General features: G+C 32.1%; 1 protein-coding gene across 7 annotated transcripts in view; it reads left to right on the top strand.

Annotated features, from left to right (window-relative positions):
- Nucleotides 1-16,994, top strand: part of GRIK2 (glutamate ionotropic receptor kainate type subunit 2) — a 676,376-nt gene that overhangs the window by 520,372 nt on the left and 139,010 nt on the right. For all 7 annotated transcript variants that reach the window (XM_047418681.1, NM_021956.5, XM_047418682.1 and 4 more), the window contains 2 exons: nt 10,522-10,640; nt 14,336-14,553. In XM_047418681.1, the coding sequence (XP_047274637.1) occupies nt 10,522-10,640; nt 14,336-14,553 (337 nt within the window). The remainder of the gene's footprint in view (nt 1-10,521; nt 10,641-14,335; nt 14,554-16,994) is intronic.

The raw sequence follows: 16,994 nt of genomic DNA on the forward strand, positions 1-16,994 counted from the left end.
AGAGCCCACCAAAAATTGTAGTAATAAGGGGAGTGTGAAATAAAAATGGAAAGGCAAATTCAGGAATTATTTTGAAAAAAATAGGCAATAAACTTTGGTGATGTACTAGATGTGGATATTTAAGAAAAAGATAGATGATTTTAAGAATTCTAATCTGGATTGTGGGACAATGCTTGGATTACCTGCCACATTGGTTGAATATAGACAGGTTGTCAGTTTGGTATGGAGAGCATGATCAATTTGATATTGGTCATGCTGAGTATGAAGTATAGCATTACCCCCAGTTACATCTATCTGTGGTCAGATGTAATATGGAATGGGTTGAGCACTGGTGAGATACCAGTGAATTCAGCTATATAGATATTCTAGCTAATCCAAAATCGGCAAGGGGCTATTCCAAGAAAAGAGCAAATAGGCTAGCTGTATATTAGTATGGATGATAATGACTATATTAAGAATCTGTCGACATTATAGTCCTTGCAATGTGGGAGTTACTTTGGTTTGGAGTGTGAGTCGTATTACTGATCCTGACAATGTGTTGCCCCCCCACCACACCCAAGTGTTACTCTTTCTAATTGGAAACCTTTTGGCATAGTGCTAACTAGCTAATATGCTGCATTCACTTTTATTTACTCTTATCAAATGGGATTATGAGTGTATGATATCAGGTTTCTTGAGCTTTCAGTTATATTCAATTGAACCAAATATATTTACATTCAGTTGTGTTTATTTTATTTAAAACCATCTTCCTAAATTGTAAACTGATATATTATTTCTTAGCTTACATAAAAGTGTTTTCTAAATGTTTTATTACTTTCATTCCTTTCTTAACCATAGTTTAACTTCATCCAACTTCAAAACATCACCATATCATTTTACATTATGAAGCCTTTTACATCTAAGTATAGAAAACGCATTATAGCCTTAACTAACATCCTGCTCATTAATGATTTGGAAGGTAACTGAAATTAATTATAGCTAGGAAAATCTTTTCCTTAGAAACTAACTCTAAAAGTACTTAAATATGTACAATTAAAGAAAAAATGATACGGGCTGTGTGACTCAAAACTAATGCACACACAATTACTTTTTAAGTAATATGGATAATTTATTGAACAATAAAAATATTTTGGGATATATGTTATTTATAACTAACAACAGAAGATGTATAATAGCAACTGATAACAGAATAACAACCATTCTTATTGAAAGAAATTGCCATGCAGGTTACATAAACTACGTATTTGGAATGATGACTAAAAATTTTCAGGCTAAGAAGATTGTTTATTATTCATTAAGAAAGTAAAAAATTAAAAAAACAAGCAAACAAATAATAAAACCTAAAAGTGAAGTGGTACTTGCTGAATATAAGAAGATCACACAGTTTCACAGGATAATTTGGTATGTTTGCAGAGCATGCCACTGAAAAGAAACCTTTATTTTATTTACTATGGAATAAAACAGTATTTTAGGAAATTATTTCTTAGACTTGTAATAACATTATAAAAGATAACTGCACAGACGAAACTTCAGGGTGGCAAGGATATTTTTACAGAAGATTCTTGTAGTGAATCCTTGAGTTTCATATGGATATTATAAAAGAATGTAATGGCAGTGAGTTTGATATGGTGCCTTCCCCAAAGTTACATGACATTATGTTTGATAATTGTTTATCGTAGACACATACAATGTTTTAAGCTTACTTCTTAATATTTTATTTTCTGAAATCAATGTCAATTAAAAATTAATGGTTTTGAAAAATAAGCAATCTATCCCGGAAGGTATTTTTTCCCCCTCTCTTCAAATATGTTTAGTTAAATTCCTTTAATTTGATTTATTTCATTTGAGAGATACTGTGATCTTTCAGAAAAATTGCTGGGGCTCTTGCTTTTAGTATTTCTTCATGGATTTAAAGAGATAACTTTTTCTAACAGTGTAAAAAATAGCAATATTCTATTCCATGTGAAAAATAATTCAAATTCAGGTGGCAATGTTAAAATATAGTACAAACATAATACTGTAAAGTTTAGGCTTCAGGTAAATTTGAATGTTCCTTAAGGATTTCATATCTATGCATATATTATTTAATTTTAACATTTGAAATATTTATATTATTAGGCTTGATATGGCAGTAAATAAAAAATAACATTTATTCCATAATATTTTTAATAGAAATTAGTTAATACACTTATTAACTAAAGCATGATCTTTTCTTGAGCATTTGTGACGTTTTTTGTATTCTGATAATATCACAGACTTTATGACCAAATCTTAATTATTGAATGCTCTCAGTGTGCATGATTTGGTTCTACATAGTGAAGGATATAAATATGTTAAAAAGTGATGAAGCAGGAAGTCTTCTATTCGAGTGAAAATTAAGGAATTACTCATTGATTGGAAAGTAGGAAAAACTAGAAATAGTATTCCTCTATAATTAGGAATAAATTAGATCATAGGAATTCCCTTTTCTTGTTTTATGGGAAATGATAAAGATTGAAATGCTGACTGGAATGGATTGCAATAAGAGAGTAGGAACATTTTCACAGGCGATCTCCATTACAGACCTGACTCAAACCTTCTGTGCACTTCAGAGATACCTGATTTATACAAAACTGAATTTTTATACTAATGTAATAGTTTTCTTAAGTCATTTGTTACAGTTCAGAATGAGACAATATAGCTAAGTTTGTTTCATAATTGGCAAGTGTGACACAAACATCAGGTGATGTTATTATTCATTATATGTAACATTTTCAATAGTTTATTATTTAAATTTGCCATCTCTGTAATGCCTCACCTTATTCTTTCATGGCTTGTTTTAAACAATTTTAGTCGCAGGCAAGTCTGCTTTACAAAGGCTTGAGATGTTCCCATTTTATGCCTGATCCCACTACAGATGTCATGAAAATGGCATAATTTCAGCAGATTGTACTTAACAGATAGGTGGTAAGGTTGTCTATTATCTGATAAGCCTGTAGAGACCTCATTTCCTTTCTTCCTGACATTTAATCTAATTTTCTGCCAAGTATGATAGTTGTTATAACTGGCCCTTCTCAGGCCATTTATGGGTTAAACTAATAGTAATTTCATACCCTAGAAGTAGAGTTACCCTAGCAACTCTCAGTCCATCTAGATCCAATTTCTAAAAATACTCTCTCATTTCTGGCTATTTTCTTTTGTACTGGAGACACAACTATGAAGTCCATTTCCACGTTCTGCTTCTCAAGAAAATGCCAAACACACCAGTGGATCCATGCTCACTTGTGTTGGCACCAAACTGGCCTGATCACCTATGTTGAAAAAGCACATGGCTCATTTAAATAATGCTGAAAAGTTGAGCATAGCTGAAGTGTAGGATGATTTTAAAAAAATCCAGAGTTGAGCCTGAAAACATGGCTTATAGTCATTCTGTGAAAGTTTTTAACGTATATGGGTTTTTAGTGTAGCAATTACCTGTTTTCCATTTCTCTCCTAAATAACCAAGTTAGCATTACCTTGTCACTTGCCTTTTTTTTTTTAAGTTTGGATGATGTAACTTCTCTTATTAAGAAGGACTACTGTATTTTCTTTTGAGAATTTTATATTTTTATTCAACAAAGTGTACCACTCCTTAGCAAATAGTAATCATCCTTCAAAATATTCTTTTTTCCCCACAAATACAGAAGTAACAATTGAAAATTTGAATATCAAATTTTGAATTTTTAAATTACTTTGGAAATTAAAGTAAAAAGTAGTAAGAGATCACGTCTTCACATTATTAGTTTAACTATATGCCCATGAAAAGAAAAACAAAGTCACAGTAAATATGAAAATAGTATGTAATGAAAAAAAAAACTTTGTATTCCTCGTACTAGAATGTTTGTTTATACTTGATTTTGAAAATGATTGTGTCTATTTTGTTTAAGACAAATTAATGTGAAAAGCTATTTATTTTCCCTATTCCAATCCATTTACTCCCATCTATAAAATGAGGTGGGGAATTAATATGTCAACAAAGCAATTAAGTAGAACAAAAAAACCAGAATATTACCGTTAACTGCTGTTAAATTTTTAAACAAGATTTGCTTTGAATTTTTCATAACACGTGAAAGTTGAGGATTGTTATGTAATAATGATGATGATGAAAAAATAAACACATATTGAATTTAAATTCTGACATATAAATAGGACACATTCTAGAAAGGCCATTTCAGCTTAAGGAAAAAAAGTGTTCAAATGTGTAAAATATATCACTAATTGGCTTAAAATTATATATGTTATAAAAATCATTTTTGTACTCTTCATTAGTTGTAATGTAGTTTGCCTGTGATATGACAAAGTGTTCAAATTAATGTTGAATTAGCTTTTTTTTCAAAAAATGGTAATGTATTCCCTCAATGAGTAGTAGATTATTTTATATATTTTCTAAATTATTTCTTTGCTCTAAAGGTCTAGAGTAAGAAATCTTTAAACAAGGATTATATACTTTCAGCTAACATTTATGTAGCAATATGTAGTTTGAAAACGGCTTTGCACATATTATCTCTCATGCTGAGTTTTCCCGCCTCCTCTTTAGAAATAAATATTCAGCTCAGAGAGATTTAGTGATCTGTCACCACATACAAAGTATGTATTTGGCTGGAATTCAAACCTTCCAGTCTCAAAACTTGTAGTCATTCTATTATGCCTCTTTTAGGCACTGAAGTAATGCAAGTGCTAATAATAATGAGGAGGAGGAGAATGATTTTTAAAAGTCCATCTCTCAAAGGCCTCATGAAACTCTGGAAATACAAAATTGATACATGAAATCACATTAGTACAGCAAAAGACAGTAGGTGATAAATAGATATTTGAAACAGATCAACTTTTGGGCAAAAGCAAACACTATGGAATTTCAGAAAGGAGTAGCATAGAAGCCAGTTGGGTGAATTAACTGAAGAGGAAGAGGACTTTTCACTTAATAGAAACAGCATAAACAAAGGCATAATGAGACAATGGGCCAGTCTACATAATAGTTTGAATAAAGTTAAAAATATTGAGTCATATTATATTGAGCCTTGAAATTCAGAGACAGAGAAAGTTAAACCTAATAATTCAGTAGTTAATAGATATTGATTCTACACAAGGGGAGTTTCATGATGCATAACTTAATATGAGGATAGTTTTACAAGACAAAAATGGAGAAAAGGAGAATCAAGTAGAGACAGTTTTAGAAAGTCCGTGATTAAGAATGGAAACAAAAGTGCAATGAAGTCGGTAAGATGAATCAAAGATACATTTTTAAAAAGTTGACATGTCTTAAGCATAGTTTGTATTTAAGTAAAAATAGTAAAAGAAGATACACTTTAAGTCTCAAGAGCTCAGAGAAGTGACACATCAATTTAGAAAAGGAGAAATTGGGAAACAGAGATAATATGGGGGAAGTTATTTGGTTCAATTTTAAACATTTTAAGCATGAGGTAATGGTGAGCTACCTAGGTAGGAAGTTACAGAGATGGATGGAAATCCATTGAGGGAGAATTTATGGCTGTAAATTAAGAGAGTTTTGTAATCATCAGTATAGAAGTTAAAGTCATGAGTGTGTTAAGTGATTAAGGAAGAAGGAAAGTTTTGAGAGCTGAAACAGAGCCATGACAGATTATCTGTTAGTGGGGCAGAGAGTGAGAAACAAGGGTGCATGTCAGAAGTTCAAAGGGAAGGCATCATTCAATAATAATGGTATTAGAAGTTCAAAAATGGTTAAAAAGTAGATTTGAGGAACAAGACAATGGATTTAAAAGCAAGATTTTAAAACAATGGAAGTTTAGGATTAAGGAGAAATTAGGTGTAAAGATATAGGAGAATAATCATTTTAGATGTTTGGCCAGAATTTGAAAAAGAAAGAGAGAAGTAAAAGGAACATACAAATAATTCAAATATGTTTCAAATGCTCACTTTTTTAAAAACCTTGTGCTAAAAATTTGAGGAGATGCAAAGATAAATAAAGAACTGTATTGGGATGTATTCAATTACAATATAATGGAAAAGGGAAAAGATGTGCATTAATTTATAGTGAAGAAACCAGGCTGTGATAAGTATGACTTGACCCTCTTCATTTTATAAATATGGAGAAAAGAAAGATATACTTGGGTTACACAAGTAGTGGTTAAGCGTCTCTAATGAAGACAGCCCAAAATAAAATAGCTTGAATTAGTGGACATTTATTTCTCTCTCATCCCCAATCGAGAGAACAGTCCAGCTCTGGTGGGACAGCTCTGTTTTCCTCAGCAAGGGGCTTCTAATACTTCTCTATTTAGCACCATTTCCTAAAATGAGGAAGATTCCAGGGCAAATGTCTTTAATGAGAATTTTCAGAAAGTTGTGCATATTGCTTCTAATCGTATGTCAGTGGCTCAAATTGGGTTGAATAACAAGAGCAGATGAGAAGTACAGTTTTAGCTGGGCATCAATGTTACTACTAAAACCCAAGGAGGAAAACAAATACTGAGCGATAGTCATCAGTCTCTATTATAGATATCCTCCATGAAGAGAGAATGAGGAAAGTTACTGAATGGTAGTACTGGGTAGTATTGAAGGATGGGTGTAGGATTTGAATATCTATGGAGTGAAGAGTAGGGAATTACAGGGTAAATGACAATATGAGCAAAGAAATGAATAAGAATAAATACAGGGCTTTTTTTTTTTGGAAAGGGGGGTCAGAGATCACATTTGCTAAGAAAAGTGGATCATAATCTTGAAATGTTTTTGAAGGAAAGTGTGAAGAATCTTGAATTCCATGTTTAAAGTCTGGATATTTTATATATGGACAATGGACACAATTAAAGATTTTTAAAATAGAGATGTGATATTATGGGAATTATTCCACATTAAAATCAACTGGGAAGCGGTATATAGAGATTAGAAATTTGAATAAAAAGTGGAAAGTCCAGTTAGGAGACTACTGCTATGGATATGACAGCCTGAACTAGTATAGTGCCAATGGGAATAAACAGAAAATGGGAAGGGCAAGAAATGAAAAAGACATTCTAGAAGTTTACCGACATAATTTGACAACTGCTGGAGTTTTGGGTTATGAGGCAAAGAAATATAAAGAATGGAAGTTGATTCAAAGGATATTAAGCCTAAGTGATTTAAGGGCTAGTGGCAGGGCCACTGCAATTGTTCATTTAAGGATGCTGGCAGGTGATGGTATTAACAGAGATAAGAAATGTAATAAAAGAAAAATTAGTAAAAATTGTGAATTAATATAGGACACTGTGGTATTGGAGAGTCTACTGTCAGGACAGTGGAAATTCACTTTAAGTCAAGGGAGTGAATAGGATTTAATATATATATTTGGGGAAACAAATAATTGTATGAGCAGAAAAATATTAATTTGGAGGCCAATTGATTTAAATTATGATTTAAATTTAAAAAGTGAATCCGAAAGAGTTGGAAGATGAGGACAGATACTGAAGCAAGATCTGGAAACAGGGAAGATAGAATTCAGTGGGACAGTCAATCTTAGAGGGGTGAGATGATTTAGCTTAAAAAAATAAATAATGGAGCTAGAATAAGAGTTGTGTTCACGTTAATGTGAGAGAGATAAGGTAGACCACAGACAAAGCAATGCAAGGCCAGTGAGTAAGAGTGTGTGTGTGTTGGGAGATATTGCTTGAAAGTGGGAATCGGAGATAAAAAGAATTGACTTACCTTTCCTCACTATTAGAGGAATGGTAATGAATCAAATTGAGAAAGAGGAAAAGCTTCCCAAGTATTGCCATAAAGAGCAAATTGGAAATTCATATTGGAGACCATTTTTCTTAGCCTGTATTTGTATCTTTTGGAAGCTTTATCCTTTTGGATATCTTCAGTTTAAGAAAAAAAGCAGAGAATGTGAGGTAAAACATGTACATTATTTTAATTTAAATATCAATTTACCAAACATTTATTTTTTTCTCTTTTGAATAAATTATACAAGAGACTTCCTTGAAACCAGTGTCAGTGTTCCCAGATTCTTCCTTCCTACCTTTCTCCATTTCCTTCCTTCCTTCCTTCCTTCCTTCCTTCCTTCCTTCCTTCCTTCCTTCCTTCCTTCCTTCCCTCCCTTCCTCCCTCACTCCTTCCTTCCATTCTTTCCTTCCTCTTCAGATTATATAGTCTGAGAAAATAGAAAATAAATTTTTCAAATGTATATGTATAAATTTGGATATCTCCCCAACCCTACAACCACGTCTCATTCCTCTCATTTCCCATGGAATCCCTTGAAACATCTATATAATACTTCAGGGCTTAAGGAACTCTATGAAAAAACTAGTGATCTCAGTCAAACAAATTACACAGTCTCACTATCTTTAGCTATGTTTCTAGGAGTTGTCATATGGGAAAACTAAATCTAGCTTTTATAGACCAGTTTCATGTTAATAGCTAATATACTTTTAAGAGTAGGAAAAATATGTTTTAATTATCAAGAAATTAAAATTGGAGGTTGAATAACTATAGTTGAAGTCATAGCATCTAATAATATTTACTTGCTATTATTGTGTCAAAGTATTGAATATTTGCCACCTGCTGGCACTACATTAACCCATACAATCCTTTAGAATACGCTTATGGGTTAGGTCTTCCTATTTTTCTCATGCTTTGGGCAGGGGAACTAATGGCATATGGCTGTGAGGGATGGAGATGGGTGCTCTAGCAGCAGAGCCCGTTCATGATCTAACCACTAAATCACATTGTCTCTCATGAGCAATCAATGTTTTAGATAGTTAATTTAAAGCGGTAATATTTTTTAAAGAACACATTCTTGTATAAAGACTGATGGCCAACATTCTGTTACTTGGAAATACTTTAAAAAACGTGTATAAACTATTCTCATTAGCATGAAAGTAATAAGGGAATTTAAATGAAAATAAAATGTCTAAAACCAAAGCTAGTTCTATTTCAGTCAGACACAACAAATCAACTTACTCTTCAATCAACCTTTCTGTTTAGTGTGTCAGTTTAACTTAGAGAACCAAACAAAACACTTTTTTGTTTGTCAAGGATAGGCTATTAAAACAAGGGTGTTCTAAAATTGCATTAGAAAGATGAAAATGATTTGTTTAATCTTCTGAATTTTCATATGTCAGGAACATTATTGTGAAGAAAATTGAGCTCTCTGAAGTGACGGATACATTATTCAAATAACTTTGATTGGATGTAAGATTTTTTTTAATGCTTTCACAAAGCGGACATATTCTAATTTGGTTTATAAAAGAGTGGCTTTAAAATTTGAAATACTGGGAAAAATATTTTTTTAGTTCAATAATTAGACAAAGCATATTTAATTGTGGGTGTAATGTTTATGGATAATTCCATTAATTGATAAATATATCTGGATTATAATTAGCATAAATTATTTGCACCTTAATAAGTCCTCAGTTTGAACTACATTAGAGATGTTAAGATTTCTAAAGTCATCTACAACTGGCCTTAAAAATTAGATTTGATTTTTTAAATCTTAAAATAGTGGTTCAGATAAGTTATAGATTTGAAACAAAATAATAAATGGAAAACAGTGAGCCTCAGTATGAATTCCTGCTTCTAAAACTGCTTTGATGGCTCGGCGCGGTGGCTCACGCCTGTAATCCTAGCACTTTGGGAGGCCCAGGCAGGCGGATTGTCTGAGCTCAGGAGTTTGAGACCAGCCTGGGCAACACAGTGAAACCCTGTCTCTATTAAAATGCAAAAAATTAGCTGGGTGTGGTGGCATGCACCTGTAGTCACAGCTACTCCGGAGGCTGAGGCAGGAGAATCGCTTGAACCCAGGAGGCGGAGGTTGCAGTGAGCCGAGATTGTGCCGCTGCACTCACTCCAGCCTGGGGGACAAAGGGAGATTCTGTCTCCAAAAAAAAAAAAAAAAAAAAAACCACAACGCTTTGATACTTTGATATCATGCTGATTGGCATGTTCTCTGAAACCTATAATAATGTCAGAAGCGTGTATTAGAATGCAGTAGATTCTTATTTTTTTGTTTCTTTAGAGTTGAGATTTTACACATAAATATGTAAATTCATAGAATCATTTTGTTAGATACATAATTCTGCATTGATTATTTTAATCTCTGTTACTTTGGTGGTTTCTATTATAGCATGCAAAATTCTTATGATGATTTTATATTTTTTTCTGTCTTTAAAATACTCTACGGTCTTTAAAAAATGTTTCACAACTAAGTTTGTTTTCTACTTTAATGACTTTCTAGCTTTCAAATTTTTATAAATCCTGTACATACAATGCCTAAGTCTTAAAAAATGTTATTGGTTTACTGATATACAGATTTTCCTCTAACAAATAATGTATAGTAAGAAAATGCAATTTCTTACTGTGGAAATTAGCTGATAAGGACAGGGATCTTTAAAATCGAACACTTGCAGGCACGTATATGAAATCTTGTAAAAATGTCTGTTTCTGCTTTCTACTTAAACTTATCTGTCTTTTTGTTTCTTTTGCAGCAAAAAATGCTGGATAGAATTTCTTCCCACTGCAATTTAAATGTATTCTTTTTTCTGTCAATTACCACAGGTTTAGTCCTTATGAGTGGTATAATCCACACCCTTGCAACCCTGACTCAGACGTGGTGGAAAACAATTTTACCTTGCTAAATAGTTTCTGGTTTGGAGTTGGAGCTCTCATGCAGCAAGGTATACGATTCAGCCTGCTATTTCCTTTGGGCACCATGTCCCACTCTTTGCTGGGGGTGACAGCTCTTGCTGGCACAAGTCGCTTGCATGGGTGCCTCTGTGCATGTAACCATAATCCAGCTTTTCCATCGACCTAATGCATTTAGGCCTTCTCAAATCCCATTCAAGAGAGATTCTGAGAAAATAATTAGCTTTTGCAAATCCACATAGAGTATACTCATCTATTTTTTTCCTTAACCTACAGTAGATACATTATTTCATAGATAACCAAGCTAACCTGATCATTAGCCAGAAGCTGCATTTAAACTACTACAAAGATTACATCTCCTTGAGACAAGAATACAGTGTTATGCTCCTGTTTCTTGTCTCATTTTGATGTAAAATCTTCTCTTTCATATTAATTCTTGGTGATTAGATGCATTTGTATTGCATGATTAGTAAATTTACTGCCTATAAATTTGAAGAGTTAAAATATTAAAACATGAACTTTTTGAGTAAAATATTAGCTGCATTTGATAGCATATAAGAATATAAAATATTGCATGCTCGGAAGTGCATGCAAAAATACTTTTTCGTAATTATTTAAACTTTATAATATACATGTTAAAATTAAGGCTATATCTTAGAAAATGAGATAATACATGTACTAATACGTCTTAATGGTTTATATGTAACTATGAATCTACTATTTTAGTCTCAGTTTTTTTCAAGCAGAATTTTAATATTTGATGCTATGGTTTCTTTTATTAATCTTTTCACATTTAAATAAAGTTTAACAAATTGCTATGCTAGACCTATTACTCAAAATAAAATATTTTATTAGTCAAGGTCTAAGACTAGTTTTGCCAATTTAAAATGTAACATTTTAAAGTTTTAAAATTAGTAAATAAAGCAAAAAAATCCCAAATTTGAAAAACTGACAGTAAAGGAAGAAAAAAAAACATATTTCTTCATAAGAGTTATCATACCTATCATAAGGTTTGATTTTAAGTTTTTGTTGTGTATTTAATATCCACTTTGAAGAAATTCATTTAGTGATTGCATTACAGATCTGAAGAAGTGGAAATTTATGTTGTTATAAAATGTTGTTTCTAAAAAAGGCATCGTGCTATTGCATGTTTAATTTTATGCAGAAATGCATTAATTCATTACTGTTTCATTTATAAACTATTTCCTAAAGTGAAAATACATAACTACATGTCAAAAGAAAAAGTTTAATTTACCAATAAATAATCTTTAATACATATTGTAAGCATGGCCTACTAAATTGAAATGTTTATTGTATAATTATTAATATATATGTAAACTATATTTTTATATATAGTTTATGAATATTTAAACCTAAAACTTGAAAATCCAGAAAACTTTTACATGAGCTAACCTAAGTTTGTGGCATCTCTTTCTAAATAACTCAAATGAAGAATCAGTAGTTATATTTTTCCTTTCCTACATTTTCTTACATTTTGGGTCCAAGGGTTTTTTTTTTTTTTTTTTTTTTTTCCCTTAGGCTTACTCTACCCTTAGAAGACATTATTGTAGTTCTTTCAAAATAACAGAAGTGAATGAAAAAGCCCGTCATATGGCACAAGGTTATTTTATAAGTAGTGTTGAGTAATACAAGTCACCCAGGCAAAACTGCTAGTCGTCTGTTAATAATTAGTAGTCTGGAGGGAGTTATCCTCATAATAAACATCTGACCATAGCAAGACTTTCGTTTTAAAAGTTTCATATCTCTTTGACAAAGAAAACATTCTTTTTTTCTACTTATATTTTAAAAAAATATTTGGAGGTCTTTGAGAATTTGTATGCTCATAGGACAAACTTGCTATTAGTAGTATTTAGGAATTAGAGGTAAAACTCTATGTTATTATCTCTGAAGATAATGACAAGCAATTCAAGCAATGAAAAATTCAAATATACATTTGCTTCGCCACATAACTACGTCACTGCTGGTGGATACATGAAAGAGGAACCCATACTATTCTGGCTGATGCCCAGCTTCCCAGGAATTAGTGGGATATAGTGCTGGACATGACGTTACCTTGAGTACATGACAGTCAGCCCCTAACCAGGCTCTGATTCACAAGACTAGGAGGTACTCGCTTTAAGTCCTTGGGTAAGATATGAACTTGTGGTAATTGGGCCATTTATGTCAAATGTCTCCACTATTCTTTTCTTTCCCAGTCTTGTTTGACTTTATTGGTGTTGTTGTTTAAACAAAACAAAACAAAACACAAAAAAAGCAAAATAGGCAGCCAATGCTGCTCATCATCTTGGGAGTATTTAGTGTTTCAGTGTCCGAGTGTGTGTCTGACAGGGCCTAGGAGCAACTACATCAGAAAGGTACTTTTCTGTTTTTTTTTCCTTACAGAGCTGTAGGCAGAATCTGGAGCTGGAGTTGGCTGTCATGTCCAAGTTTGTCTGCTTTTAAAATTTTGTTTGTTTGTTTGAAATTGCAATGGTAAGATGAACTGCAGTATAAGATGGGCTGTTTTGATATAGTGCAGTCATAATACCACTTATTTTTCAAGCTTCACATGAATAATTTGTTTTATTTTTTATTCCATCTAAAGATGTGTTACCTTACTGCATCAGAGATTATACTAAAGATATGACTGTAAGTCCGTCTTTGCTTCATTCCATTTTACTCAAACACAAATAAAATTAAGTACTTTTAGTCTATGCTTTCTTGATAGATTCAAAATGATTAAAAGTGAACAGTAATATATGCATATCTACAAATTTAGTATACCTTACTTATAAAAAAATCACACATACTGATATATGTTTATTTAAGCATTAAGAATATAAACAATGTGGTAAGCTGTAATTAAAATTTAAATAACAGACCAAATTTTAAATTGGTAGGATTTTGTTTTATAGTCTAAATGAATTAAAATTAATAATAGTCAAAAGTAAAATATAATTCTCAGATCCCATTCTTTTATTAAGATCATGAGCAGGCAACTCCAGCCGTACATTCTGATATAGTTATAAAAGATTTATATATGTATAAAAATAAATGTGACAATTTAGCTATATATTCTTATTCTAATTTTTTTAATTGATGCTAACCATAGTGATGGGAGATCCTTGCTTATACAGGAGAACATAATTTATTATCTTATTTTAAAATAAACATTACACTAAAACCCCACATCATTTCAAGAAATGTGGGCAATAGTAGTTATTTTATTATTATACGTAACTTTTAAAAATAACAAGATAGACAAAATGTTTGAGCTACATGCACATGAAAAGTGAAATTTACAAAAAGCTTAAGAAAGGGATCCAAAAGTATATTTAAGCACTTCCTCTGAAACCCTCATAACTAACAAAATATGAAAAAACAATAAATGTGGTTTATAAACCAGAAAGCCTAAAAAATCTCTTCTAATGCTATTTTTATTAAAAATGTTTACTCATTAATATTTTAATTGGAACTTTGCATCATCTCAGGTAGAACATGAGTCTCCTGTCACTATATTTAAACAAGAATGTCCTAAAAGATTGTCTATTTTCTGAAAATAGCCTCTGCTTTCCCAATGGTTGTTGCTTGCTTACTAAAGAAATATGTAAATCTTTGATTTAAGCTTTTATTACACAGTGATTCCATTCTGCCACTGTGACAAAAAGTATCTGATTGCTGATCAAATTCTCTATATTCGTTTCACCTTTCCCCCACTCTCTGTTAGGTTCTGAGCTCATGCCCAAAGCACTGTCCACCAGGATAGTGGGAGGCATTTGGTGGTTTTTCACACTTATCATCATTTCTTCGTATACTGCTAACTTAGCCGCCTTTCTGACAGTGGAACGCATGGAATCCCCTATTGACTCTGCTGATGATTTAGCTAAACAAACCAAGATAGAATATGGAGCAGTAGAGGATGGTGCAACCATGACTTTTTTCAAGGTAAGTTCTGCTGGTTACCTAAAATTTACAAATTAAAATGATAGAGCGCAAACTTCTCTCGATTCACAAATGTAAGAGTGTAACAACGCCATTATTTGTGCACAATTCTTAATAATAGCATATACCTCAAGGGGTGGAGAGGTGTACAACTGAACGTATGCTCATCAAGACCAATCATTTTAATCTCTGAAAATGCTAAGGAGGTTTTGCTTTACAATATTTTGTTCCTGTTTTGAGGAAAATCAGCCCAAGGGTAACATTTTTTCCCAGTAAGCTTTTCTTTTTGAATAAAACAAAATGTATTTTTTGAAACTGTAATAGTAGGATGTTCAGATTCTACAAAACTTTGCTATTCCAGAAGAATAGAATAATTACTCGGAAAAATGTTTCCCATACGTACATTTACTTTTGTTGAAATGAGGCAAGATTTAAGGGCTGAAAATACAGAGACAGTCCTTATTATCTATACGTTCACCAAGGTAATAGTCTGGGAGACACAGAGTTGAAAGGGGCTGTCCCATTGAACTCACAGTGGTTTCCAGAGAGACAGCCCTGTGGAACATTTAAATGAAAGTGTGCTTGTAAAAAGTTTCTGTCATATAGAGTGCCTTGCCCTCGTCTATTTTTTCTCTCTTCTCCTTACTCTTGCCTACTCACTGGGCCAAAGTAGACCAGTTGAGGGATTTCACTTTAGGTAGCTATTACCACTTTATAATTCCTTTTGTATCTTACCAAGTATTTTTACAGTTTTTGTAGGTTGGGCAAATTTTAAAACATTGATATTTTCTTTCTGTGTTCACAGAAACACAACTGGCAGTTCAAATGTACAGTGGAAATAGTATTTTTTTTTAAAAAAATGATTAATTCAAGCTATAAAATAAATTATTTCATGAAGCATTCATCAGGTTTCTATCGAGTGCCAGAAGTTACACGACACATTGAGTATTCTAATTCTCACTATCGAGGAGATTATGGTTTAGTTGGAGACAGAATAATAAACTTAAAACATCACTGAATTTGGTTTTATGTGACTTAAGTCAGTATTTTGTCAAATTATGCAACTTTGTAAAAATTTTTATAAAATTAACTTTAAAATAAATTTCTGGAGGACATCCAATTCCCCCAAAAATAAGATAAATTAGATTTAGTCAAATATTTAAAATTTAATTATTTTCAAAGTGAATTTCTCATATGACTAGATTAAGTATTGGATATGGATTTCACATTTACTTGGAAAATCACTGTTATTTAATCAAATTTATTGAATAATCAAATATAAGCAAAACAATACGTTCAGTATGGTCCTATTTGACTATATTAATTGCGATGGATCAGTTTTTCTTAATTGAATATTGAGAATTTATAAGATTTCCTTTCTTATCAAACGTGTTAATATTTTTGTGTTTTTATAAAGAAATAAGCTGCTAGGCCAGGCACGTTGGCTCGTGCCTGTAATCTCAGCACTCTGGGAGGCCAAGGTGGGTGGATCACTTGATCCCAGGAGGTTGAGACCAGCCTCCATAACATGGCAAAATTCTGTCTCTACAAACAGCCCAAAAATTAGTGTGGTGTGGTGGCATGCACCTGTATTCCCAGCTACTTGGGAGGCTGAGGCTGGAGAATCACTTGAGCCGGGGAGGCAGAGGTTGTAGTGAGCTAAGATGGCGACATAGCACTCCAGCTTGGGCAACTGGAGTGCAATCCTGTCTCAAAAAAAAAAAATAAAATAAAATAAAATAAATAAGTCGCTGAAATTGCTAAACGTGCGTTGTTAGTGTCAACAACTTGAAGGAAGTGAATGCGTGATGCATTTAATTTATTCCAATATCCAAGTGACTTTTGAATTGAATTTGTAAAATATAATAATACAACCTATTGTACCTAACACAAAAATTTGACACCAGAAGTGTTTATTTCTGGTTCATAAACATTTCCGTTTTAATTTTATTTTTTCCAGAAGACTCAAATATTTTGTTTTAAAGTTCAAATATACTAGTAGCAAAGTTCATTTTTGAAAAATCAGTTACCAAACATATGTATTTTTTCTTTATAAAATTTTTATTTTTAAGCTTATTTTCTTAATTCTTTGTCTTTTCATTCTTTCGTTCTTTTTTTAATAGTTCAATTGCTTTCTGCTATGCAATTTTTGCCTACTTTCACTTTTCCTTGCTACTGACTTTTCTTCTTACTCTTTTTTATCTCTTGTTTTTCTCTCAAACACGAGTGCCTCTAGCACCTTGAGAAAGTCGACACGACACAGCTTTCTATTTCCAACAGCACATATATTATTTCTTTAGAATTGTATTTGGAATGTACACAAGTCACAATAAAAACCACACAGTGATAATTACTAAGTTGACAACTACCTTATGTTGCTAATATTATCACATGCTGAGTTCTATTTTCCTACTGAAACTAGGAAAAGAAAATTAGAACTCACA

Source organism: Homo sapiens, chromosome 6, assembly GCF_000001405.40.
Source record: "Homo sapiens chromosome 6, GRCh38.p14 Primary Assembly".
Taxonomy (NCBI): Eukaryota; Metazoa; Chordata; class Mammalia; order Primates; family Hominidae; genus Homo; species Homo sapiens.